Source organism: Homo sapiens, chromosome 6 (assembly GCF_000001405.40).
Source record: "Homo sapiens chromosome 6, GRCh38.p14 Primary Assembly".
NCBI classification, from domain to species: Eukaryota; Metazoa; Chordata; class Mammalia; order Primates; family Hominidae; genus Homo; species Homo sapiens.
In genome coordinates, this window is record NC_000006.12 from 80,466,677 (window position 1) to 80,494,264 (window position 27,588).

The 27,588-nt window shown below is 37.2% G+C and overlaps 1 long non-coding RNA gene and 1 pseudogene across 1 annotated transcript in view, besides 1 other annotated feature; one reads left to right on the forward strand and one right to left on the reverse strand.

The window, feature by feature from the left end:
• Positions 3,390-3,823, reverse strand: RPSAP72 (ribosomal protein SA pseudogene 72; annotated as a pseudogene).
• Positions 16,879-17,496: an enhancer, noted in NCBI's record as "H3K27ac hESC enhancer chr6:81193272-81193889 (GRCh37/hg19 assembly coordinates)". NCBI's record gives its function as "activates a minimal SCP1, AML or CMV promoter by ChIP-STARR-seq in primed H9 embryonic stem cells {active_cell/tissue: H9 hESC(primed)}" and the evidence as "EXISTENCE:reporter gene assay evidence [ECO:0000049][PMID:30033119]".
• The window catches only part of LOC112267962 (uncharacterized), a 162,505-nt gene continuing 153,216 nt past the window's right edge, over positions 18,300-27,588 (forward strand). The window contains exon 1 of the long non-coding RNA XR_002956360.2: positions 18,300-18,389. This is a non-coding gene — a long non-coding RNA (uncharacterized LOC112267962). The remainder of the gene's footprint in view (positions 18,390-27,588) is intronic.

Here is a 27,588-nt window from a genome sequence, read left to right on the forward strand (position 1 = left end):
CTTCATTCCTGTCAAATCTACTTCTCAGGGACCTACTCCAAGGGAGTCGCCATTCCTTCATTTTATTATTAAATTGCTTCTTCATAGAAAACCTATCTTCGGTGAAAAAATTAGACTCCAGAAATGATATTTTGCCAGAAACATCTCTAAAAGCCTTTTTATCTCCCTGATGAACTCAATGTAGCTATGGAAATTTGAATTCCCTATCTGGGGTCAGCTTCAGAAATGTGTTTATTTATGTGCTTCGAATTGACTTATCAACTAATGAACCAAGAAACAATTTTTCTTTTGGCTGTGTTTTAAAAGGGTCTTGCTCAAATTTTAAAGGTTGGGGCATTTTAGAGTCAGATTTGTTTCATAATTTTTCTATGTAACATATTCACTTCCCATTAAAATGTAATTTTCCCTACCAATAAGGTGTTAGGCTTCTGATCCCTCAGGGGAACTGTGGTTGACATGAGCATTACCTCATCCAAATGTATGTTCCCAGTGAACCTGTCATCGAGTGGACTTGATGCCTTCATTTTTTCCTTTTGTAGCAAGATGCCTAACTGGTTACTTATGCAAGCATTGTTATTGAAATTAGGGGGAGTAAGGGGAATAAAAAATGTATGGAAATTATGAGTGTTAGAACTGAGCACAATCATTGCAGCATCTGATGCAGACATTTCAGGGTAAGCGAAGTAGTCTCTTCAGAATAAAAATGAGGGTAATTAGACTCAATTCATTTATTCAACACTTGGGTCAAGTCCATGAACTCTACAAAGATAACTGTGCCATGGATTTTGCTCTCTAGAGTGGTAAGACACGTATATGGTTTGTCTACTCATTCAGCAAACACTTTCTGGGCATGTTTTGTCTCCTGAGGTCAGCTCTGGAGATACAATGGTACATGGCACAAATCTTTGCAAGTGCTAAATATAATACCTGATATTAATAGGCTGTGAGTGAAGAGCACAAAATGTGTAGTGGGTGTTCCTGGGATACAGTAGCTCTGTGCATGTAGAAGGGATTAGTAAGGGCCTCGTGAAGGAGACAGCATTTGTTCTGGGACTTGAAGGAAAGACAGGATTGGAAATGTAGAGATGCTAAGGAAGGTTGTCCTCAATAGAGAAAATGCCATAGCTGAAGGCCCCTCATATGCTATTCTTATCTAACTATGTGATTCTAAGCTCAGGTGATCCAAAGAGGCTCCTCAGAGTTGTGGCAAACTGAAGCCAGTGGTGTAGGTTGAAAGGAATCTGAGAGAAGATCAACACCCAGGAGAATCTAAGGTCCCATTGTGGGTGAATCATTTTGGGCCATGTTTCAGAACAAAATTTCCACAGACTCACTACCAAATACTCATGGACTTATATTTTTGGTTCAGAGGTTTGATGAAAAACTCTGGAAGCCTATTGCAGAGAACTGAATAAGGTAAAAATCTACCTTTTACTGGACACATCGTTTAGGAAGCAAATTAGTCTCCGTTATCAGAAAGTTCCAAGGGGGAATCTAAAATGTGATACTTTGCTCAGCAGCTGACAGTATTTTTGCTACATTTTCAACTTGCCTTCAATTCTGTTTATTTCGCTTGTCTAATTTACTATCTAGGTAATTTAAACAATGAGAATACAGTGACCCGCAATTTTCCTAATTTAAAGGTATCTCTTCTGCAATATTAAATTTGCATCTACATTGCCTGCCTAACAAGACTGTCACCTCCTTGAGGTCAATGTGATGTTATCTAATTTTTTAGATAACATCTATGTCTCTAATAGATCTATCTGTGCAATAGAACCATACAGTCCTTCGTAGATAGGGGAAGCACAAATGTTGGTTAATATTTAACAGAGTATCAGACCTGCATCCTTCTCTCTAAGAGCTCAAACTTCAGAGAGTAGATTCAGAGAGTAAATGTTTTCCCAGGCTCAGGCAAGAGGGGTGGTTTGTATGTTATTTCTTTCTTATTTTCCAGTTAGACTTTTGGAAATCTGCCAGATGCAATTGAAAAACCCTGCTCAGCTTTGTCCAATGTCTCATTTGAGGATCAGCATGAGTTTGTTTACTTGAGATTAACAGGAGTCAAGGATATACAAATTCAGCAATGTATGGATAACTTTCCCCTTTTTAACGCTGGCCTCACCACAAAACTACCACCATATTGTTGAATTTTGGAAGTTTATTATGCTTTATTTTTTCCTATAAAAAAATAAATGTCATCACATTGTAATAGTTTTATAACCTGTTTTATCATATTTTAAAATACATCTTGAATATTCTTTCATATAATTAATCTTCTACAGCATAATTTTAATATCTATGAAGATTCCATTATGTGCTTGTATTATACATTTTTACTCTGAATACATTATTGTTGTAAACAATGCTTACAATTATGAAAATAAATATATATGGCTCATTTACACATTATTCTAAATCTCATTGTACTCTCCGGTTAGTCATCATTAATGTCTTGAAGTTCACTGGTTTGGCATTTTATGTATATTTATATCTGTATGCATTAACAAAGTTTATTTATTATTATTACTATTATTATTATTATTATTATTATTATTATTATTATTATTATTTTGGAGACAGAGTCTTGCTCTGTCACCCAGACTGGAGTGCAGTGGCATGATCTTGGCTCACTGCAACCTCCGCCTCCTGGGTTCAAGTGATATTCCTGCCTCAGCCTCCTGAGTAGCTGGGATTACAGGCATGCGCCACCATGCCTGACTAATTATTTTTATCTTTAGTAGAGACAGGATTTCACCATGTTGGTCAAGTGGGTCTTCAACTCCTGACCTCATGATCCACCTGCTTCAGCCTCCCAAAGTGCTGGGATTACAGGCGTGAGCCACCGCACCCAGCCAACAAAGTTAATTTTTTAAAAATAAAAAATAAACAATTAATATTTGTTGGAGATAATTAGATAGGTATATTTCTAAATATATATATGTGTATAGTATAAAACAATAATCTCATTAAATCCTATACAAATAATAATCCTGCTTCTGAAGCCTGTAGACCCAACCTGCTAGCTTCAGAAATAGAACATTACTGGTAACTTAAAAACCAGTTTCTAGTCATTCCCCACTGCCTTCTCCTCTCTAGGCCCCAATGATTACCACTATCTGGAATTTTCTGTATGTTATCTTTAAGCTTTACTTTACAATTTTAAAACATACGCTTACAACCCTGAGAAAGTATTTTTAAATTTTATATGGTTTCATTACTATAGAGGTGGAAACATGTTTTCTAAATGTTGTCAATTAGAATATTGCCTTTCACACTTAAATCTTTAATCTGCCTGGAATTTATTTTTGTGTGTGGTATGAAGCAGAGATTAAATTTTATTTCTGCTAACTGCATATCAAATTAGCATCATTGATTGAAAAGTTATCTCATTAACCAGAAGACGTATCTCCAGGAAAGCTGCCTGGATCTGGTTGGTGAAGGTTCCAGAAGTGAAGCATCCAGCAATTGGAGTGGCTCCAGTGGCAGCAGCCCGCTTCAGCACAGCTGCTGGCTGATATTCCTGGAAGATTTGACACTGACATCAGCTGGGTTTTCAATGGCATGAGCCACCAGCAGAACTCTTCCCAGGTCCTCTTCAGAGTTATAATTTAAATGCCATCACTTTTCCTCTTGCAGAGGTACTGTTCCATTTGCAAGTCAAGGCTGATACCACCTAAGTAAGTTCCTGATGTAAGGAATTTGAGAACATTCTCCTCCTTCATCTACAGAGCATCAAGCGCTTCACACATTGTGAAAGTTTCCCTTTGTGTTATGACAGGAACCCAAGATAAGTTGGTATGAGTTGCTCTCTGGTTAGCACAAACAGGCTATACCTTTTTTGTGTCTTTCCTTTCTTCATCAGTCATGTTAGAAACTTACTGGTCTTATTAGTCTTTTTGAAGTGCCAACTTTTGGCTTTGTTAAATCTTTACATGGTACATATATTTGTTAATGTATTAATTTCTATACTTTATGCTTTCCTTCACTTTTTGGAAATTTCTGTCCTTTTTCTAATATATAATGCTTAATGCTTCGCTGGTTCATTTTCAAAATTTTTTTTTTTTACTATAAGTATTTAAGGCTACAAATTTATTTCTAGAAACATTATTGTGTGTATTGTACTAATATTTGGTTGCTGTTTCATTCTAAATATTTTTATTTCCATTAGCGTTATTTTAACTTATAGGTTATTTACATTTCTTAGTTTCAAAAGCTTGGAGAGTTTTAGTTGTGTTTTTGTTATTAATTCTAATTTATTTAAATTGAAGTCTTAATGTATAATCTATATGATACTGTGTTTTGGAATTTTTTGAGTTACTTTATGGTCAAGTATGAGATCAAATCTCCTAAATGCTTTATGTGTCCTTGAAAGAATGCGTGTTCTCTACCTTGATGAAATGTTCTGTGTTTTTCCATTACATCAAACTTATCAATTGTGTTTGTAGCAAAGACTGGTTAAAGGTTCAACAATCCTATCTCTTTTTCTTGGATGCAAAGGAAGACTGCAGTTCTAAGTCTTCCTTCAGTTGAGTTAGGATTCTATGACAGCATTCTGTCCATGAGAATAACGGGCAGAAGTAACATAAGGCACTTTTGTCTTTGTCTTTACAATGTCATGAAAGTTCTTCCTTCTTTCTCATTTCTTTTTGGCCAGTTTAATGCAGAGGACCTAGTAGGCTCAATAGAATTCCAATGGGGCCTAGAAGATGACAGTGCCATAAAATGGAAGAAATCACAATTTCTTAATTCTTGATGACTAATATGAGGAGAAACAAACTTCTATTGTAAGTCACTGAGGCTTCAAGATTTACCTGTTTCTGCACTGTTTCTACACTGTAACCTATCATAGCCTGATTAATACAGTGTTGTTCAAGTGTTTTATGTCCTCAGTGACATTTTATCTGTTAAATCTAGAAATTACTAAAAAAATGCTAAATATTCCACTCTGTTAGTAAATTTTCCAAATTTCTTCTTGTATTTCTGGTGCTTACAAATATTTTCAATTCCTATTTTTTATATTTTTAGGTGCATATAAGTTTAGAATGATTCTATTTCCCTGGTAAATCTAGTCTCCTCTCATTGTATAGTGACTTTATATTTCAAATAATGTCTTTGCCTTATAGTTTATTTTGTTTGATTGAAATATAATTATTCCCACTTTATTTTGGCTAGTATTGAAATATATCTTTTTCTGTGCTTTAACTTTCATCCACTCTATCTTTTAGGTGTATACCTTCAGCATATAGATATATTTTAAAAATCTGTCAACTATTTGTGTCTAAATGGTGTTAAATTTATTTATATTTACTGTGGTTTAGATAAATTTGGATTTATTTATGTCATCTTAGTTTATCTTTTCATGTATTTCTCTTTTTCTTAGTTTCTAAAATCCTCTACTACCCTTAAAAATAGATAAATCTAAAGTTTTCTTTTATTTATATTCTTTTAATGTCTATGAGTTTGGAAGAAATAGCATCTTTTTTCTGCCTATAACACATTCTTTAGAATTTTCTTTAATGAAGTTCTCTTAGATTAAATGCTCTCAGGCTTTGCTTGTTTATAACTTTCTTAATCTTATTATTGTTTTAAAAGTATATTCTTGTTAGGTATCAAATTATATATTGAAGTCTCTATTTCTAGGAATTATGGATTGGGTTGTATAAACCCAATCTTCCCTCTGAGAGTAACTAAAAAAGCTGGGTAAAATATAAAACATGTGTTTGAAGGCATTAAAGAGGTACTGAAGCAGCCAAAATGTGAGTGGTCAAGATCCAGAAGAGAAGGGAATTGAATTGAGGTGAGCCAAACGTTACTCACTACTGTTCTCAAAGCATTTGATGAACCAAAGCTGAGAAGTTGAGCAAAGCTTTTGTTAGTCTCACAGTTCAGGGCTATGAAAATCATATACTTTAGAGTATTCATTAAAAGAATAGTAAATAAATGTGCCACAAAAAACAATAGAGGAAAGAAAGTGGAAAAATTTTTTTAACACAAAGAAGGCAAGAAAGAAGTAAAACAGGAAGACAGAACAAGAGGAATAAATAAAAATAAACAGTAATATGATAGATTTAAAATAAAATGTCAGTGTTTACATTAAATGTTAAGTGGACTAAATATTCTAATAAATGAGTAATATGCTGTAGAGAAAAACAGAATTCAATTATTGGCTGTTTTTAAAAAGATATGCCTTAAATATGAATACACAAAAAGGTTGAAGATGAAAGAATTTAAAACAGATGTAACACATAAACACTAATGATTCTAGTTTGACATTAATTTTTTATTAACATAGTGAAGTTATTTTATTTTCTTCTAACTTCCACTGCTGCTGTTGAGGAATCAGTTGTCATAATTGTTGTTCATTTGAAGATGATCTGTATTTCTTCTCTGGCTGGTCATAAGATTTTTTTATGGCATGCCTAGATGTGCTTTTCATTTCATTTATCTTACTTGATATCCATTACCCTTTCTGTAACTATTAACCAATTTTTAGTTTTGTAATTATTTTCCCCATGATCCCTTTAAATGTTTCTTCCATTTAATTTTTTGTCTCTTTTTTCTACAAATATTTAAGTGGATATTGAACTTTCCTACTTTATTTTCCATGTCTATTAGCTCTTTATCATATTTTCTATTTGTATATTTAGATGTGCTACATTATGGAAAATTTAAGATAATTATTTGGTTAATTTTATTTTTAGCTATAGCAATTGTGTTGTGCATTGAGTATTTTACATGTTGTTATAGTTGTTATTTTTAAAGTTTTATGTTTTTCATTGTATGTTCTCATAAGTCAGAGCTAACCTGTGAGGACTGAAAGGCATAGTAATTATACAATGGACTTTGGGAACTTCAGGTAAAGGATAGGATGAGGATGAGGGATAAAATACTACCCACTGGGTATGGTGTACACTGTTCAGGTGATGGGTGCACCGAAATGTTAGAAATCACCACTAAAGAACTTATTTGTGTAACCAAACACCACCTGTTCTCTAAAAACCTATTGAAATAAAAAATATAAGGCTGGGCGCGGTGGCTCATGGCTGTAATCCTAGCACTTTGGGAGTCTGAGGCGGGTGGATCATGAGGTCAGGAGTTCGAGACCAGCCTGGCCAATATGGTGAAACCCATCTCTACTAAAAATACAAAAAGTAGCTGTGCGTGGTGGCGCACACCTGTAGTCCCAGCTGCTCAGAAGGCTGAAGGAAGAGAATCGCTTTAACCTGGGAGGTGAAGGTTTCAGTGAGCTGAGATCGTGCCACTGCACTCCAGCCAGGGCAACAGAGTGAGACTTTGTCTCAAAAAAAAAATTAAAAATGAAAAAGTTTTATGTTTTTATTTTTCAAGACTTGTTTTTAATAATCTCTTTTTCTCTAGTCCATATATTAAATCTCAGATTTTGTTTCTTTAAACGTATAAAACGTGTTTAGGTGATTCTGTTACCTGAGTACTAAAGTAACAGAATTATCAATTCTGAGTCTCAGTAACCTTGCATTGAAATGACAAATTTCCACCATTCCCACAACATTCATGTGCTTCCTGGAACCTCAGAATATAATCTTTTTGGCAATAAGGTGTTTGCAGATGTAATTAATTAACTCAAAATGAGGTCCTACTGAAGTAGAGTGGGCCATAAATACAAAGTGATTGTTATCTTTATAAGAAGACAAGAGAAACACACACAGAGAAGAAGTTGTGAAGACAAACACGTGAGGAGAATGCTGAGTAAAAATGGAGGCAGAGATTGTATTCTTCTACAAGCCAAGGAATGCCAAGCCTTGCTGGCAACTACCAGAAGCTAGGAGAGATCCTCTCCAATAATCTTCAGAGAGACATGACCCTGCTGATACTTTGATTTCAGACTTGTGGCCTCCAGAACCACAAAAACAAATTTCTGTTATTTTAAGGCAAGTTTGTGGTACTTCATTATAGCAGCCCATGGAAACTAATGCAAACCTCATTTGTAAAATGATTAATACCAATTCATTCAAAAGAGCTAATATGAGGATTAAATGAAATAATATATTACACATAAAGTACTTTGTCTTGTCTGTCCAGAAAAAGTGCTCAATAAATGTTAATTTTTTTAAAATTTGATTTTCAAACACCTCATCCCTGTGACGGTCTTGGATCTTTTTCGTTTCTTTTCTTTTCCTTGTCTTTCCTTTTTGTTCTTGTTTTTGTTTTTTGTTTTTTGTTTTGAGATGGCGTCTCGCTCTGTTGCCCAGGCTGGAGTGCAGTGGCATAATCTTGGCTCACTGCAACCTCCGCCTCCCAGGTTCAAGCAATTCTTCTCCTGCCTCAGCCTCCTGAGTAGCTGGGATTACAGGTGTGCACCACCCCATCTGGCTAAGTTTTGTATTTTTAGTACAGACGGAGTTTCACTATGTTGGTCAGGCTGGTCTGGAACTCCTGACCTCAGGTGATCCGCCCGCCTCGGCCTCCCAAAGTATTGGGATTACAGGCATGAGCCACTGCGCCCAGTTGCATCATTTTCTTTATAGTGCAAAAACATACACAAATGCACAACACACACACATCTAAATATCTGCATATATACATCATACATATTCACATGCAACTTACTCTAATTGCCCTTCATTCATACCTTGTTCGATCCTCTCCACATGATCTCAGCATCTCAGCTATGCACCCATTGAAGCTTTCCATATTTTTTAAAACTATGTATCTGAGAGCTTCTCAGTTTCAAATCAGATTTCATGAAATGGAATATTGATATTTTTCCTTCAAATAAAAGAAAAAATACTTTTTTATAATAAAGCTACAGAAATAATAAGTTCTGGTGGAGGAAAAAGGTTTCATATATAGTTAGTGCTCTCTTGGCTATTTTTATTACTCAGAGAAATCTTGTCACAGACATTTTTTTTCAGAATTAAAAAAAAAAAAAAACCTTGAAGCAAGGAGCGGAGTATTATGAGAAAAGTTAATTTTAATTTTCTAAGTCCCAACATATTGAAGTTCCTGTGAATCTAAAATAAAAGTGTGCTTTGAAATAAATTGTAACATGAATAAAGAAAATGAATGGACATTTGGATTGAATTATGTTATTTTTAGAAAGTGGCTTTTTTCTTCCTTCCTGTTATTTCACTGTGGATTTTAGTGGGCAAAGCATGAAGAAAACCCTGTGTGCTGTCATGGAGCGTAAGTACTTCTTCACATCCCACCTCTTCAAAGATATTTTGATACTTTGAAGATAATTCTAGGTTTAGTATATAAATGAAGAGTAAAGTCCTAAGCTGGGCAATAGCATCTTAGTTTGAAGACAGATTAACTCTAGACTGAAATCAAATAGGAAAAGAACCAGAAAAATTATCATTTTAGTTATGTATTTTCTATCAAGAGCATAATTTTTTTCTTTTCTTTAAGGGCTCAATATCATCATGTAATTACATAGTATAGTCATGTACTATAGCTCAATCTACAGAGTAATATTGCTTTAATGACATCGATCTAGAAAAAATGACTCCGTTTAAATAATCAGATCGACTAATATTCACAAAGAATCTTTAGAAGAATGGTAGAATCAAATACTCTTTACTTGTAAATATATGACTCTTAGAAATTAATTAATTAATTTACTCATGTATTTATCAAAAACATATTTATTGCATGCTCACAAAAGAACCTGTACTAGGTGCAGGAATATAGATGGGGAGAAAGACAATATATGAAAGAAGTAAGTAAAATATAAAATGTGTTAGATGGTGATCAGTGATTTGGAGGAAAATAAATTTGAGAAGGCGGGTGGGGATTCTAGGAGTATGTTGCAATTTTTGAAAGGAGGGTCAGAGAAGGTTTTACTGAGAGATGTCCATTGAGTTACCATCTGAAAGAGGGGAGGACATTTTCACATGAAGTTGTTGATGAGGAATTTGAATTTCTAAATATGAGTTACAGAAGAGAAGCCTGAATTGGAGGTAATGCACACACATATATTTAGACAAACTTATTAGAGTGCCCTCTGTTGTTAAGCATTTTGTATTTATTTGCAGAAGATACTGAAACTCTAGACCAGCAATATAATTCCAGTTTATTCTGAAGGTTTTTCTTTACCAACCTATAGTTGTTCAAGAACTGGTTATAATAATTTAGACAAAGGCTTCAATCACAAGCCATTTAGATATATTAGGGTAAGTATGCCCTCAGATAGCAAGTATATAATTGTGTTGTGGCTTCAGGTGTAGTCTACACTTCATAGTCCTGGAAACTTTGTGACATGTCCTGGTTCACTCAAAATGACAGGAACCTTAAGCAAGGCACTGTATTACCATTGCTACTGAGGGACTCCATCTGCAACATAAAAGGATTAGACTAAATGTTTTTTACAAAGTCACTTTTGGTTCTAATATCCCATGAATATATGATATTTGCTTTAATTCCTTTGTGAAGTGTTTTAAATTGTTAGCACATTGCCTAATTCAGCAGATTTCTCATGAAGAATTTTCTTTGCTCTTGTTAGTAATGGATCTTCTTTATATACTTTGGTTACAGGGCTTCTCTTATTGAAAGAACAGTTACTTACAAATTTAAGTCTGGACTCAGCAAAAAATAATGCTATATTGGACGACCTCAGAATATTTTATAGAGTGCTTATGAGTTTTTCTGTCTTGTTCTGTCTTGTTTAAACCAGAATTAATGCAGACCTAACCCATTTTTAGATCGTAGACGTTCATTAAATTTAGAAAGATTTGAGGCTTTTAGGGCCTTGAAGATAAGTATTATTTTCTGGTTCATTCTAGCTGTTATCATTGTTAAAGTAGTCTCCACTTTGTCAACTTCTTGAATTCCATAAGGCAGACTATAATCTTTCTGCTTTGTTTGTTTCTACTTCTCATCACCACTTTGCAAGTGTATTTCTGTCATTTGAAAGTAAAGACATGTACACTTGCTGAGCTTTAGAAGTACAGGATTTTTTTTTTAGTTATCTCTGGTTATTGCTTTTCTTCGATGTGCTATCAATAATGCAACTGAATGGTGATATTCTTCTCTCTCTAACAAGTGATACATATCACTGGTTGAATCAGGAGAAGCTACGTTTAGGAAAACATGTGTTCCAAGTAGTATTGTGGTGGCCAGTCACATGCTTTAAATCCTCCCAGGAAGTTTACATTCCAGGAATTATTGAGAACAAGAAAACCATGTCTCTTAAAACATTAATGAAGTCAGGAAGCTCCTTTAACAGGTTGGCAAATGGTAAGTGCTTAATAAATACTAGCTGAATTTATTATTGAATGAAATAAATAGCATACTTTGTATACTTTTATCCACTGTTAATAAACGTGTCAGGGCAAACTCTTTTTTACATTAGATGTATTCCTTGTCACTCTATTGAATACATTTTGGTAGAATGGGTGACTTTAACTTGCTTGAAACTTTGTATTCACATAGCAATTGTGGTGGTGGCCACAGAATATTTTTCATCCAGAATGAATTCCTGAGATGTTGAATAAATCAAGTGACCTTCCATTTTACTCAAAGCCTGGCAAACTGAAATGGAGAGGTGTAGACACTTCAGGCTTAAAGGCTACAAACCTATCTTCTTGGACTTTGCAACCAAAATAGACTTGAAACAGAATAAAAATTCAAACAGTATGAATCACTGTGTTGTATTATAAACTCAAGCAGAAATGGGAGGAGAAAACCTTACAGAGAGAATACACTGACATGTAAAGAAACGATGACATAACAATAATGATGATTACAATAATCAGAAGTAGTATTTGCTGTTTATTAACTGCCTGGCACTATATTAAGCATTTTCAGAGATTATTTCACTTAATCCTCACAACAAACTTTTTAGGGAGGTACTATTGTTATCCTCTTCAAAGAAGGTTTAGAGAAAACTTGTATCATCTCTAACAACTTTTCCTATGGTTACATAGCTAGGAAGTAGTAAAGCTGGATTCAGAAACCTATGCAGTTATCCACTATAGATTTGTGACTTAAGGAAGAGTTCTAAAAAACTAGAAATCAAGAATAGAATTAATTATATGAATGAACACATTTATTGGAAGAAACAACAGAATTGATAGTGTTAAAAAATTTGAATCCCAGCACTTTGGGAGGCCGAGGCGGGTGGATCACGAGGTCAGGAGATCGAGACCATCCCGGCTAAAACGGTGAAACCCCGTCTCTACTAAAAATACAAAAAATTAGCCGGGCGTAGTGGCGGGCGCCTGTAGTCCCAGCTACTTGGGAGGCTGAGGCAGGAGAATGGCGTGAACCCGGGAGGCGGAGCTTGCAGTGAGCCGAGATCGCGCCACTGCACTCCAGCCTGGGCGACAGAGCGAGACTCCGTCTCAAAAAAAAAAAAAAAAAAAAAAAAAAAAAAAAAAAAATTTGAATCACTGATGTGGAGGACCCCTTGAAACTATTACTATAAAACAAAAAGGTAAAATATGAAGGGACATGCTGATGCAGAGGTCAGTTAATGGAGATCCAGCCTAAGAATTACATATACTTCTGAAGAAGTCACAATTGAGACAGAGGATAAAGAAAGATATTTGAGGTGGAATGTTTTAAGGGTAAAAAGACCTAGAAATACAAATCAAAAGGACCAGTTAAATTCCAAAAAAAAAAAAAAAAAATTAATGGAAATACACCTTATCTCATCCTGTAACATTTTGGATTTACAGAGTTTATTTTATTTTATATTTTACAAAAGGCTTTTACAAGCATCTTTGTATAAAACTGAGGCTGACATCAAACTTCACCACCCTGACACTAAATATCAGAAAACTATGAAGTAATCTCTATAGAGTCATCTATGAATGAAGACAAGAGAGAAACATCATTTTCCCATAGGTTCAAAAAACTGTATAAACTATATACCCTCTTTAAAAATTACTTGAAGCTGTACACTAACTCATCAATACAGGATTTTAAGATGAATGAACTCAATGAGCATTTTCTCCCCTCTATACATCTATTTGAATAAAACAAATCACAATGCTGGAAATAATATATGTGAAAATATGCTCACCATTGTATTATATATTACAGTCAAAAATTGAAAATAACCAAATATTTCCTATTAAAATAACATGAGATATCATTCAGTCATTAGACGATGTCAGAAAATACTTTTTCAGTTTTCATGGTGTGTGATCTCAATTATGCATGGACAAATGCATTGAGCAATAATTGAAATGGTTAATATTAATTATATCTGGGGTGGAGAATATTTGTCTGGTTTTTAACTTTTTTTATTTTTCACATATAAGACAATACATAACAATGAAAAAATAGAAGAAAGGAGTAGGGATTGGTACTCTCAAAATTAGTTTGGGATTTATTTAATAAAAAGAAAACCCAGACATCTATATACTGACCAGGATTGACATTGCACTGAAACTTTTTCAAACAACCTGCAAAAGTGTAAGTAATATAAATCTTTCACAGGCCACAGGTCACATGTCTCTGAGATCTCTGGAGCAAAGTTAGCTTTGGCTACCAAGCTTGGAAGAAAATGTTCTTCTTTTGAAATATTTGCTATATTCTTTCCTCTACACTTCATTGTTTTTCCTTCTAACTGAATTGGAACTTTCACTGTAGTTTCCTTCAACCTTGCAATTTCTTCAAACCGTTTGGAGGCTAACATCTCAAATAACAGTGAGATTCCCAATAGTTAACTTCATAGTAACTTTCTCAAAGGTAAAATGTGCTTTCATCCAAAGTCTTCGGGATTGCTCCACTTTCAGCAGAAATCTTTCCTTTCAGTGATATTTATATAACATAAAAATTTGCTTTTTTATGCAGAAATATTTTTCAAATGGACCAGTTTATATTCCTTTTTCTAAACTACTTATGCAAAAAATGTATCATTTGAATGAAGTATGCCAAAGTATCTGCTCTTCCCAGAAATATTGCAAAGGATTTGTTGAAATGATGCACTGTCATTCCAATCCTACTTCACATCCCACACATTCATAAAAGGTAATGACTGGGTGGAGGTCAGAGGCAGAGGAAACCAGACAATGCTTAGCCTTTATGTTGATCTATAGGGCCTTAAAGACATATGTGACTAAACAGAACAAATTCTGCAACAACAACAAAAAAAAAAAACCTCAGTATTTTCTGAGTATCTTTAAAAAATTTCTCAGTTTCTGTTATTTCAGTGAACTGTTTATATTTCTTCCCTAATAATATTTTTTGCCATGAATAGGTTTTTCTCCTTTTTATATCTTAAGTGTCTGGTTTTGTACTTTGCTGGTAAATGTCACATTTCACTTCTGTTGTATTCCTCTCAGTTTCACATCTTCTTTCTTTTCCTCTCTAACCTAGCAATCCTATATACTAGCAGCTAACAAAAACACTGAAATAGTGACTTGATGCTCTTAATAAACTCTGCCAAACTATCCCAAGGCAATGAATTTATGGTACTATGTAATTTCTTTACACTTATGCCATGTTAAAACAAAAACAAAAAGCAAAACTGAAGCCACATGTGAAGGTCTTTTTGAAGGACTAGAGGCATTTATTGTTAAATACTTGCTTTATTGTCCATGAAAGTAATAAATTGATATCTGTTTTCTTTGGAGTCTTTTCAGACGAAAATATCAATATTGCTACCAGTTGTAAAAGTCCTATGATTTGTATAACACTAAGACTTGAAGTTGATATTGAAGTAATTTGCTTTTTTAAGGCAGAATAGTATAGGGGCTAGATTCATCGACTCAGGACCCAAATTACTTAGATTTCAATCTGTCTCCCTTTCACTGCTTTCTAGGCATGTAAACTTCATACAGTTATTTACCATTCTGTGCCTGTTTGCTTGGTTATACAATGAAGATAACAATAGTTTCCACATGATGGTTAATTAATATAAGGCACTTAGAAGGTTGCCTGGTACATGGTAAGTTACATATGTCCAATACAAAATTATTATTAAAATTAGGATTTTCTTAGAATGCTCTAGGAATTAAAAGTGAATTAATTAATTAAATGAAATTAATAAAATCTATAGAAGAGTTGTTGCTATTTTTTTTCTTTTTTGAGACACAATCTCACTCTATGGCCCAGGCTGGAGCACAGTGGTGTGGTCTCAGCTCAGTGTAACCTCTGCCTCCTGGTTTCAAGCGATTCTTGTGCCTCAGCCTCCTAAGTAGCTGGAATTACAGGTGCATGTCACTATACCCAGCTAATTTTTGTATTTTTAGTAAAGATGGGGTTTCGCCATATTGACCAGGCTGGTCTTGAACTCCTGACCTCAAGTGATCCACCTGCCTTGGCCTGCCAAAGTGCTGGGATTACACGCGTGAGCCCCCTACAGAAGAGTTGTTGAGAGTAATACTACTCAAACTTTACGCTGAGAATTATGTAAAATGTAATACTACAATCATAACAGCTTACACTTTATTGTGTACTACTTATGACTTTAAAAAAATTTTCTTCTTTACAAAAGTGTTTTGATTTTTTTACATTGCACTGATTGATGCACCCCCTTCAAATACACAATTTCTAACAGTCAGAATTAGAGGAGGCAGTGTCATGAACAATGGTTTAATAATATGCAGGCACTGTACTCGTGTATCTAACTATACTGAAATTTGCTGACACTGCAAGTCAGCTATACTTAGGGCAATTCTGGGGGCATCTAGATAGTCTCTATCCTGATGAGAACAACTGGTTGTTCTAGAGCAAGTTTGTCCAACCCATGGCCCACCAGCCACATGCGGCCCACGACTGCTTTGAATGCAGCCCAATGCAAATTCCTAAACTTTTTTAAAGCATTATGAGATTTTGTTGAATTTTTTTTTTTTTTAAGTTCATCAGCTATTGTTAGTGTTAGTGTATTCTATGTGTGGCCCAAGACAATTCTTCTTCCAATGTGGCCGAGGGAAGCCAAAAGACTGGACATCCCTCTTCTAGAGTATAGATAGGATGTTTAGTTTATCCCTTTGGTCAGCTGAATGGTGCAAGAAAAGAGTATACATAGCCTGTATCTAACTACAGTAGGTATTCAAGCTTATTATCCTGTCACAAGTCCATAAAGATGAAGAATGGATCATTTGAGAGTCATAGGGTCAAAATGGCCAGAATGCAACTGTGATGTTGCACTGTGTAAAATCAGGTCAACTGTCCTGCAGGTCCTTGGGTGTCTATAAAATGAGACAATTCTTTTTTTTTTTTTTTTTTTTTTTGTGAGCAACATGGCTGTTTATTTCACCTGGGTGCAGGCGGGCTGAGTCTGAAAAGAGAGTCAGCAAAGGGAGATAGGGGTGGGGCCGTTTTATAGGATTTGGGAAAGTAATGGAAAATTAGTCAAAGGGGGTTGTTCTCTGCTGGGCAGGGGCAGGGGTCACAAGGTGCTCAGTGGGGGAGCTTCTGAGCCAGGAGAAGGAAATTCATGGGTTAATCACTCAGTTAAGGTCGGGCAGGAACAAATCACAATGGTGGAATGTCATCAGTTAAGACAGGGCAGGGCCTTTTCACTTCTTTTGTGATTCTTCAGTTACTTCAGGCCATCTGGACGTATACGTGCAAGTCACAGGGGATGCGATGGCTTGGCTTGGGCTCAGAGGCCTGACATTCCTGCCTTCTTATATTAATAAGAAAAATAAAACAAAATAGTGTTGAAGTGTTAGGCGGCAAAAATTTTTGGGGGTGGTATGGAGAGAGAATGGGCGATGTTTCTCAGGGCTGCTTCAAGCGGGATTAGGGGTGGTGTGGGAACCTAGAGTGGGACAGATTAAGCTGAAGGGAGATCTTGTGGTAAGGGGTGATATTCTGGGGTGGTTAGAAGAAACATTTGTCACATAGAATGATTAGTGATGGCCTGGATACGGTTTGTATGAATTGAAAAACTAAATGGAATAAGAGAAGGAGAAAAACAGGTATAAAAGGACTAAGAATTGGGAGGACCTAGGACATCTAATTAGAGAGTGCCTACGGAGGTTCAGCATAGTCCTGCCAGCAAAGATTATTTATTTACTTCAAGAGTTAAGAGTGGCAGTTTGAGGATAGCACGAGGAGATATCAGTTGTGATGGCTTGGAGAAACAGTGTAAACCGGCAGTATAAACAAGAGCAGGGCATATATGAGTAGTTGAGAACAGTGAATAGGAGTATGACTAGACAGAAGATAGTAGGGATGACAAGTTATTTGGGGGCACAGTCGAAGTTGGTCTGGTGTCTGGAATGAGACTGGGGCCTAATAAAAAGGAGCGTCTATACAGGAGCTCAAATGGGCTGTACCTTGTAGCATTCTGAGGACAGGTCTGACTTCTGAGAAGGGAAAGTGGTAAAAGTATTGTCCAGTCCTTTTTAAGTTGGTGGCTGAGCTTGGTGAGGTGTGTTTTTAATAGACCATTAGTCTGTCACTGAATACTAAGAGCCTGAAAAAATGCTCGGCTGATTTGACTAATAAAGGCTGGTCTGTTATCAGACTGTATAGAGGTGGGAAGGCTAAACTGAGGAATTGTGTCTGACAGAAGAGAATAAATGACTGTGGTGGCCTTCTCAGACCTTGTAGGAAAGGCCTCTAAAAGTATTAAAGCAGCGGCAGCCGCTGCAGGCAGACATGAGGGCTAGGCTAAAACAGTAAGGTCAAGTTGTTTGGACAGAAAGGCTACAGGGTGCGGTCCTGGCTCTTGTGTAAGAATTCTGACCGCACTAACCATGCCTAGGAAGGAAAGGAGTTGTTGTTTTGTAAGGGATTGAGGTTTGGGAGATCAGCTGGACATGATCAGCAGGGACAGCACGTGTGTTTTTACGAGAATTATGTCGAGATAGGTAACAGATGAGGATGAAATTTGGGCTTGACTGAAGTAATGGGGGTTGTCTGTGAAGCCTTGCGGCAGTGCAGCCCAGGTAATTTGCTGAGCCTGATGGGTGTCAGGGTCAGTGCAAGTGAAAGCGAAGAGAGGCTGGGATGACGGGTGCAAAGGAATAGTAAAGAAAGCACGTTTGAGATCCAGAACAGAATAATGGATTGTGGAGGGAGGTATTGAGGATAGGAGAGTATATGGGTTTGGCACCATGGGGTGGATAGGCAAAACCATTTGGTTGATAAGGCATAGATCCTGAACTAACTTGTAAGGCTTGTCTGGTTTTAAGACAGGTAAAATGGGGGAATTGTAAGGAGAGTTTATAGGCTTTAAAAGGCCATGCTTTAGCAGGCGAGTGATAACAGGCTTTAATCCTTTCAAAGCATGCTGTGGGATGGGATATTGGCATTCATCGGGGTAAGGGTGATTAGGTTTTAATGAGATGGTAAGGGGTGCATGATCAGTCGCCAAGGAGGGAGTAGAGGTATCTTATACTTGTGGGTTAAGGTGGGAGAATACAAGAGGAGGATGCAAAGAAGGCTTTGGATTGGGAAGAAGGGCATCAATGAGATGCGGCTATAGTCCAAGGAATAGTCAGGTAAGCAGATAATTTGGTTAAAATATCTTGGTCTAATAAGGGAACTGGGCAGGTGGAGATAACTAAAAAAGAGTGCATAAAAGAGTGTTGTCGGCCGGGCGCGGTGGCTCACGCCTGTAATCCCAGCACTTTGGGAGGCCGAGGCGGGCGGATCACGAGGTCAGGAGATCGAGACCATCCCGGCTAAAACGGTGAAACCCCGTCTCTACTAAAAATACAAAAAAAAATTAGCCGGGCGTAGTGGCGGGTGCCTGTAGTCCCAGCTACTGGGGAGGCTGAGGCAGGAGAATGGCGTGAACCCGGGAGGCGGAGCTTGCAGTGAGCCGAGATCCCGCCACTGCACTCCAGCCTGGGCGACAGAGCGAGACTCCGTCTCAAAAAAAAAAAAAAAAAAAAAAAAAAGAGTGTTGTCTAAGTTGGCACCAGAGTTGGGGAGTTTTAAGAGGTTTAGAAGCCTGGCTGTCAATACCCACAACAGTTATGGAGGCAAGGGAAACAGGCCCTTGAAAAGAAGGTAATGTGGAGTGAGTAGCCTCAGTATTGATTAAGAAGGGGATGGACTTACCTTCCACTGTGAGAGTTACCCAAAGCTCGGCGTCCGTGGTGGTCTACGGGGCTTCCGAGGTGATCGGGCAGCGTCAGTCTTCAGCCGCTAAGCCCAGAAGGAGTCAGTCAGAGACCCTTGGGCCAGAGTTCCAGGAGCTCTGGGAGTGGCTGCCAGGTGAGTCGAACAGTCCGATTTCCAGTGGGGTCCCGCACAGATGGGACACGGCTTAGGAGGAATCCTGGGCTGCAGGCATTCCTTGGCCTGGTGGTCAGATTTCTGGCACTTGTAGCAAACTCCTGGGGGAGGAGGTTCTAGAGGAATGCCTGGCCGCTGCGGTTCAGGCGTTTGGAAGTTCTTGTGTGCTGGAGATGTGGCTGGGGTTTGTCTCACAGTGGAGGCAAGGAATTGCAACTTTTTTCTATTATTGTACACCTTGAAGGCGAGGTTAATTAAATACTGTTGTGGGGTTTGAGGGCCGGAATTTAATTTTTGGAGTTTTATTTAATGTCGGGAGCAGATTGGGTAATAAAATGTATATTGAGAAAAAGATGGCCTTTTGACCTTTTAGGGTCTAGGGCTGTAAAGTGTCTCAGGGTTGCTGCTGAACGAGCCATGAACTGGGCTGGGTTTTTATATTTGATGAAAAAGAGCCTAAATGCTATCTGATTTGGGATAAAGAAAAAGGAGCATTAACCCTGACTATGTCTTTGGCTCCAGCCACCTTTTTAAGAGTAAATTGCTGGGCAGGTGGGGGAGGGCTAGTCAGAGAATGAAACTGTAAGTCCCACCAGGTGTGAGGAGGGGAGGGGATAAAAAGATTATAGGGTGGAGGAGCGGAGGCTGAGGAAGAATTGGGACCTAGCTCGGCCTGGCAAGGAGGGGAGAGGTCAGATGGGTCTGTAGAAAAGGAAGATTAGAAAGACTCAGCGACGCTTGGGGTTGGGACTGAGGGGACAGGCGGGAGGGAAAGAAGGAAGATTTGGGATGAGTTGCACTGGGCACAGAGACTAGGAAGGGACTGATGTGTAAAAGAATGCCTGGATGTCAGGCACCTCAGATCATTTGCCCATTTTATGACAAGAATTATTTAGATCTTGTAGGATGGAAAAATTGCAAGTGCCATTTTCCGGCTATTTGGAACTACTGTCGAGTTTGTACTGGGGTCAAGCGGCATTGAAGAAAATAAGGCATTTAGGTTTTAGGTCAGGTGTGAGTTGAAGAGGTTTTAAGTTTTTGAGAACACAGGCTAAGGGAGAAGAAGGAGGAATGGAAGGTGGAATCTTACCCATAGTGAAGGAGGCAAGCCCAGAGAAAAGAGTAGAGACATGGAGAAGGAGTTGGGGGTTCTTGCCCTCCAGAAAAGCAGAGAAGGGGTTGGGGCATGGAAATAAGGGATTGGGGCACAGAGATAAGAGGTCAGGGTGTGGAAATAAGGGATTGGGGTGCAGAGATAAGAGGTTGGGGTGTGGAAATAAGCGATTGGGGGGTTCTTGCCCCCTAGGGAAGCGGGACTTGCCGCTAAGGGTGAAGGAGAAGGGGTTGAGGGGTACTTGCCCCTGCCCCAGGAAAGGCAGAGAAGGGGTAGAGACAAGGAGAGAAGGGGTTGGGGTGCTTGCCTCTTCCCCAGAAAAGCAGGACTTGCCGCTAAGGGTGAAGGACCAAGGCAGGCGTCCCTGTGTGGTCTGACACCCTTGAAATGTGGATGTATAATCACAGAGGCATCCCTGCAATGATTAAACACCAAGGGAAGCCTGCCTTCCCAGTCCGTGACTGGCGCCAGAGTTTTGGGTCCACGGATAAAACGTGTCTCTTTTGTCTCTACCAGAAAATGAAAGGAATTGAAATTAAGATAAGGGAGAGACTGAAGTGTAGCGCCAAGATTGAAAGGAGAAAGAGGTTGAGGGATAGTGAGGGAAGTTGGAGAAGAGAGTAAAAAGAGGCCGCTTACCGGATTTGAAATTGGTGAGATGTTGCTTGGGCTGGTCAGTCTGAGGACCTGAGGTCGTAGGCGGATCTTTCTCACGGAGCAAAGAGCAGGAGGACGGGGGATTGATCTCCCAAGGGAGGTCCCCCAATCCGAGTCACGACACCAAACTTCATGCACGTCTGTATGAAGAGACCACCAAACAGGCTTTGTGTGAGCAACATGGCTGTTTATTTCACCTGGGTGCAGGTGGGCTCAGTCTGAAAAGAGAGTCAGCCAAAAGGAGACAATTCTAATAACAATTCTATAGATTTAGTTCATCTTATAATTATTTATCCTCATTTCATATACAGATATATAGAATGCCTTACCTAGTGGATTACTCTTGATAAAAATGGGATTAAAATTTTAAGTCTTCTACTCTTGATTTGTATTTATGTAATATTTTTTACACTTTTTGATGTCTTTCCTTTAATGATCACACTGCACCTTAGTTGGAAGTACCTGGAAACTCTTAGTAAATATGTGTGTTTTGTTACTGAAGCCTTTTTTGGAAAGATTAGATATTACAATTATTTTGTCTCCTTTGGAATAGAGTCTATTTCACCTGCAAGATGTAGCAAAGGAGGAAGAGAATAGAGAGAAAAAGAGAAAATTAGAGGGGAATGGAGGTGGATCTTAAAGAAAATATAGCAGGAAATTTCTCTTGTCTGTGGTTCCTTCTTTGTTCATTCAACCAACATTTAAAAAAAAAAAAAAAAAAGACCTGTTCAAGAAATGAGTTGTAAACCCTATGGACTGTCCCCAAGGGGGCTGTCATGCATTGAATAACTTGTGATAAACGTTACCATGGCATCTAACACTTTGTCAGAAATCAGTCTTGTTGGCTAGGTGCGGTGGCTCATGCCTGTAATCCCAGCACTTTAGGAGGCTAAGGTGGGTGGATCACCTGAGGTCAAGAGTTCCAGACCAGCCTGACTAACATGGTGAAACCACTGTCTCTACTAAAAATACAAAACATTAGCTGGTGTGGTGGCAGATGCTTATAATCCCAGCTACTCAGGAGGCTGAGGCAGGAGAATTACTTGAACCCAGGAGGCAGAGGTGGCAGTGAGTGGAGATCATGCCACTGCACTCCAGCCTGGGTGACAGAGCAAGACTCTGTCTCAAAAAAAAAAAAAAAAAAAGAGAAAAGAAAAAGAAATCAGTCTTGTTAAATGTAAAGATAGAATTATTGATTTAGTCCAGAGAGGAATTTTTCAGACTTGAACTTTATGAAATCCACAGAAGAGGTTGTTGGGAGTGATGATATCCAAACTTTATATTGAGAATTATATAAAATTTAATACTGTAATCATAATAGACAATACTTTATTGTGTGCTACTTGCCCCTGATTGTGTGCTAACAATTCTATAAGTTTATTTCATCTTATAGTTACTTAAATAGAAACACAGGAAAGAGAGGAGCTTACCTGGTGTCAGGTAGCCAGTCAGTGGAGTCAGGGAGGTAGGTCTTCCTAACCATGATATCTAAAGCATGTCTCAACAGGAACCCTCCCTCTCTGGAACTTGGCCTTGTTCTATATCCTTAATTTAAAACTCATTTATTGATTTATTTACGTATTTACTTTTGTCTCAGTGATACTATTTTGTAAGTCACACAAGAGCAGAACAGTGCTTAGTATCTAATAGGTTCTCAGTAAAATTTTATTAAGTGAAAGAGCATTTAATAGTTCTTTATATGATCCTTAAAATATTATATAATACACATGGGTTATATCCATTGTGATTGTCAATTAATGTGTCAACTTGACTGGACTAAGAGATGCCCAGATAGCCAGTTAAACATTATTTCTGGGTGTGCCTCTGAGGGTATATCTGGAAGAGATTAGCATTTGAGATAGTAGACTGGGTAAAGAAGATGCCCTCACCTAAACAGCTGGACATCATCCAATCCATTGAGGACCTAAAAAGAATGAAAAGCAGAGGAAGGGCAAATTGTCCCTGTTTTCAAGATAGGATATTCATCTTCTCCTGCCTTTGGACATTGGACCTCTTGGTTCTTAGGCCTTCTGACTTCAGAACTTACACCAGTGTTGCTATCTCTCCCTTTCTGGCTTAACTGATCGGATAATTTCTTGGCTTCCATAATCTGTAAGCCAATTCTCCTATTGTTTCTCAAGAACCCTGACTAATACACTCATGATTTTGTATTATTTTCTTTCAAATAGAGAAAAAGAAACGGATGAGAGAAAAGAAGAGACCCAAGGACCTAGTATAAACTTTGAATTCAAAGCTAGATTTATTTTTCCTGAAAGCCCATTCACTTCCCTCCATTTATGCCAATAATCTCTCCCAGGAAACATCCTTGGAGCTATGCTAGTAAAATATAGTAATAACAATTGAGGAGGATGAAACCAAAAGTTTAATCATCAATTAAAACATGTAAATAACTGGAAGGAACTGATATATTTTTGAAAAGTGTCATTTTTGTCTTGGTATTAGATCAGTCTTGTTCCTTTGGACTGCCAAACCAGTGATTGACACCATCCTGTGATTTATGCCTCTCAGCTGTGCTTCTGAGACACCAATCATGCAAAAACCACAAAACCCACATTTCTCATGCACACAGGTTGTGACCAGTTATTTGAATCAAATGACAGATTTATATTTAGTGGATTGCTCCTTATGCATTTCATACAGTTTGCCTGATATAGAATAAAAGGTGAAAAGTGTTGTATATATTTTTTATTACCTTTTCTTTAAACTTTAACTTCTTGACCTTTATTTTCTAGGAGAAGAAATAATTATTTAATATAATAAAGTGGCAATTTTCTCCCAGCCCCGCCACAAAAATAGGACATTTGGCAGTGTCTGGAGACATTTTTGGTTGTCAAAACTAAAGGAAATGCTACTGGCATCTAGTGGGTAGAGGCCAGGGATGCTGCTAAGCATCCTACAACGCACAGGACAGTCCATCTAACAAAGAATTATCTGTCTCAAATGTCAGTAGTGCCGAGATTGAGAAATCTTGATATATTACAGTGATTCTGAATCCATCTTCTATTTTGTCACCTTCTCAACTTTCATATATAGAAATTTGGAAGTTCTTTTTATTAGTACATTAGAAAATAAAGCATAAAATGAGTCTGGATTCTGATTTTTCTCCTGCTGTTTATTTTCTTCCTGTTTCTTAACTGATTTTGGACATAGAATTCAATTCTATGTAACTTCAATTTCTGTATTTAGAACACAGATTATTATTTTTCAAGTTTGTGCTATGATTGCTGAATTATATTTTAAAAAACCCTTACAATCATTTATATCTTGTTGAGAAAGAATGATACAAAGTGGATGGAAAGGGTTATTATATGGTAATACCTATTCAGCATTCAATGAATAAACTCTTTGATTAGTGAAAACTTAGTTTGAGAAATTTATAGCATTGAGGACGTATAGATGTTATTTATTTTTACCTGAAGATTTTTGAAGTAATATTCAAGCTGTATTAAAATATGGAACATTTAGTGTGATTCTATAGTCTCGTTTAAATGGCATTCAAAGAGAGATTAAAAATAAAAACATGAATAAACAACCTAATTAAAAAATGGGCAAAAGATTGGAATAAACACCTCACCAAAGAATATATAGGGATGTCAAACAATCATTTGCAAAGATACTCAACATCATATGCCCAAAGGGATTGCAAGTGAAAACAATAAGATACAACTACACACTTATTAGAATGGACAAAATTCGAAACACCGACAGCATCAAATGCTGGTGAGGACGTAGAACAGGAACCCTCATTCATTACTGGTGGAAATGCAAAATGGTGTGATCACTTTGGAAGACAGTGCAGCAGTTTCTTATAAAACAAAACATACCCTTATCATATGATCCAGCAATAATGCTCCATGATATTTATCCAAATAAGTCAAACATTTACATGTATGTATTAACTAGTACATGAATGTTTATAGCAGCCTTATTCATAATTACCAAAACTTGGAAGCATCCAACATGTCCTTTGGTAAATGAATGGATGAATAAACTATGGTACATTCAGACAATAGAAAACGATACAGAGCTAATAAGAAATGAGCTATCAGGCTAGAGAAAAACATGAAGGAATCTTAAATGTGTATTACTAAGTGAAAGAAGCCAATATGAGAAGGCTGCATGCTATATGTCTACCTATATGACATTCAGGAATAGGCAAATCAATGAAGACAGTAAAAAGATCAGTGTTTTTCAGAGGTTAGGGAGCGGGAGGAATGAACAGGTAGAGCACAGAAGATTGGGCAGTGAGCTGCCATGTAGAATATTATAATGGCAGATATGTGTTATTATGCAGTTGATCCTTGAACAACATGGGTTTGAAATGCACAGATCCACTTATATAGGAACTATTTTTTCAATAAATATATTGAAAACATTTTGGAGTTTTGTGACAATGTGAAAAAAACTCACAGGGGAACTGTGTAGCCTCAAATAAAACAATTAAGAAAACATTATTTTATGAATGTTTAAAATATATATGTAGATACCACTCTATTTTATGATTTACAATCATTAAATATACACAAACATATTATAAAAAGTTAAAATTTATCAAAACGTATGCATACAAACACTTATAGACCATACATGGTGTCATTCTAAGAGATAACAGAAGTAAAGATGCAGTATTAAATTATAACTGCATAAAATTAACTGTAATTATTTTATTTTATTTTATTTTTTTATTAATATACTTTAAGTTTTAGGGTACATGTGCACAATGTGCAGGTTAGTTACATATGTATACATGTGCCATGCTGGTGCGCTGCACCCACTAACTGGTCATCCAGCATTAGGTATATCTCCCAATGCTATTCCTCCCCCCTCCCCCCACCCCAAAACGGTCCCCAGAGTGTGATGTTCCCCTTCCTGTGTCCATGTGTTCTCATTGTTCAATTCCCACCTATGAGTGAGAATATGCGGCCTTTGGTTTTTTGTTCTTGCGATAGTTTACTGAGAATGATGATTTCCAATTTCATCCATGTCCCTACAAAGGACATGAACTCATCATTTTTTATGGCTGCATAGTATTCCATGGTGTATATGTGCCACATTTTCTTAATCCAGTCTATCATTGTTGGACATTTGGGTTGGTTCCAAGTCTTTGCTATCGTGAATAATGCTGCAATAAACATACGTGTGCATGTATCTTTATAGCAGCATGATTTATAGTCCTTTGGGTATATACCCAGTAATGGGATGGCTGGGTCAAATGGTATTTCTAGTTCTAGATCCCTGAGGAATTGCCACACTGACTTCCACAATGGTTGAACTAGTTTACAGTCCCACCAACAGTGTCAAAGTGTTCCTATTTCTCCACATCCTCTCCAGCACCTGTTATTTCCTGACTTTTTAATGATTGCCATTCTAACTGGTGTGAGATGGTATCTCATTGTGGTTTTGATTTGCATTTCTCTGATGGCCAGTGATGCTGAGCATTTTTTCATGTGTTTTTTGGCTGCATAAATGTCTTCTTTTGAGAAGTGTCTGTTCATGTCCTTCGCCCACTTTTTGATGGGGTTGTTTGTTTTTTTCTTGTAAATTTGTTTGAGTTCATTGTAGATTCTGGTTATTAGCCCTTGGTCAGATGGGTAGGTTGCAAAAATTTTCTCCCAATTTGTAGGTTGCCTGTTCACTCTGATGGTAGTTTCTTTTGCTGTGCAGAAGTTCTTTAGTTGAATTAGATCCCATTTGTCAATTTTGGCTTTTGTTGCCATTGCTTTTGGTGTTTTAGACATGAAGTCCTTGCCCATGCCTATGTCCTGAATGGTAATGCCTAGGTTTTCTTCTAGGGTTTTTATGGTTTTAGGTCTAATGGTTAAGTCTTTAATCCATCTTGAATTGATTTTTGTATAAGGTGTAAGGAAAGGATCCAGTTTCAGCTTTCTACATATGGCTAGCCAGTTTTCCCAGCACCATTTATTAAATAAGGAATCCTTTCCCCATTGCTTGTTTTTCTCAGGTTTGTCAAAGATCAGATAGTTGTAGATATGCGGCATTATTTCTGAGGGCTCTGTTCTTTTCCATTGATCTATATCTCTGTTTTGGTACCAGTACCATGCTGTTTTGGTTACTGTAGCCTTGTAGTATAGTTTGAAGTCAGGTAATGTGATGCCTCCAGCTTTGTTCTTTTGGCTTAGGATTGACTTGGCGATGCGGGCTCTTTTTTGGTTCCATATGAACTTTAAAGTAGTTTTTTCCACTTCTGTAAAGAAAGTCATTGGTAGCTTTATGGGGATGGCATTGAATCTGTAAATTACCTTGGGCAGTATGGCCATTTTAACGATATTGATTCTTCCTATCCATGAGCATGGAATGTTCTTCCATTTGTTTGTATCCTCTTTTATTTCATTGAGCAGTGGTTTGTAGTTCTCCTTGAAGAGGTCCTTCACATCCCTTGTAAGTTGGATTCCTAGGTATTTTATTCTCTTTGAAGCAATTGTGAATGGGAGTTCACTCATGATTTGGCTCTCTGTTTGTCTGTTGTTTGTGTATAAGAATGCTTGTGATTTTTGTACATTGATTTTGTATCCTGAGACTTTGCTGAAGTTGCTTATCAGCTTAAGGAGATTTTGGGCTGAGACAATGGGGTTTTCTAGATATACAATCATGTCGTCTGCAAACAGGGACAATTTGACTTCCTCTTTTCCTAATTGAATACCCTT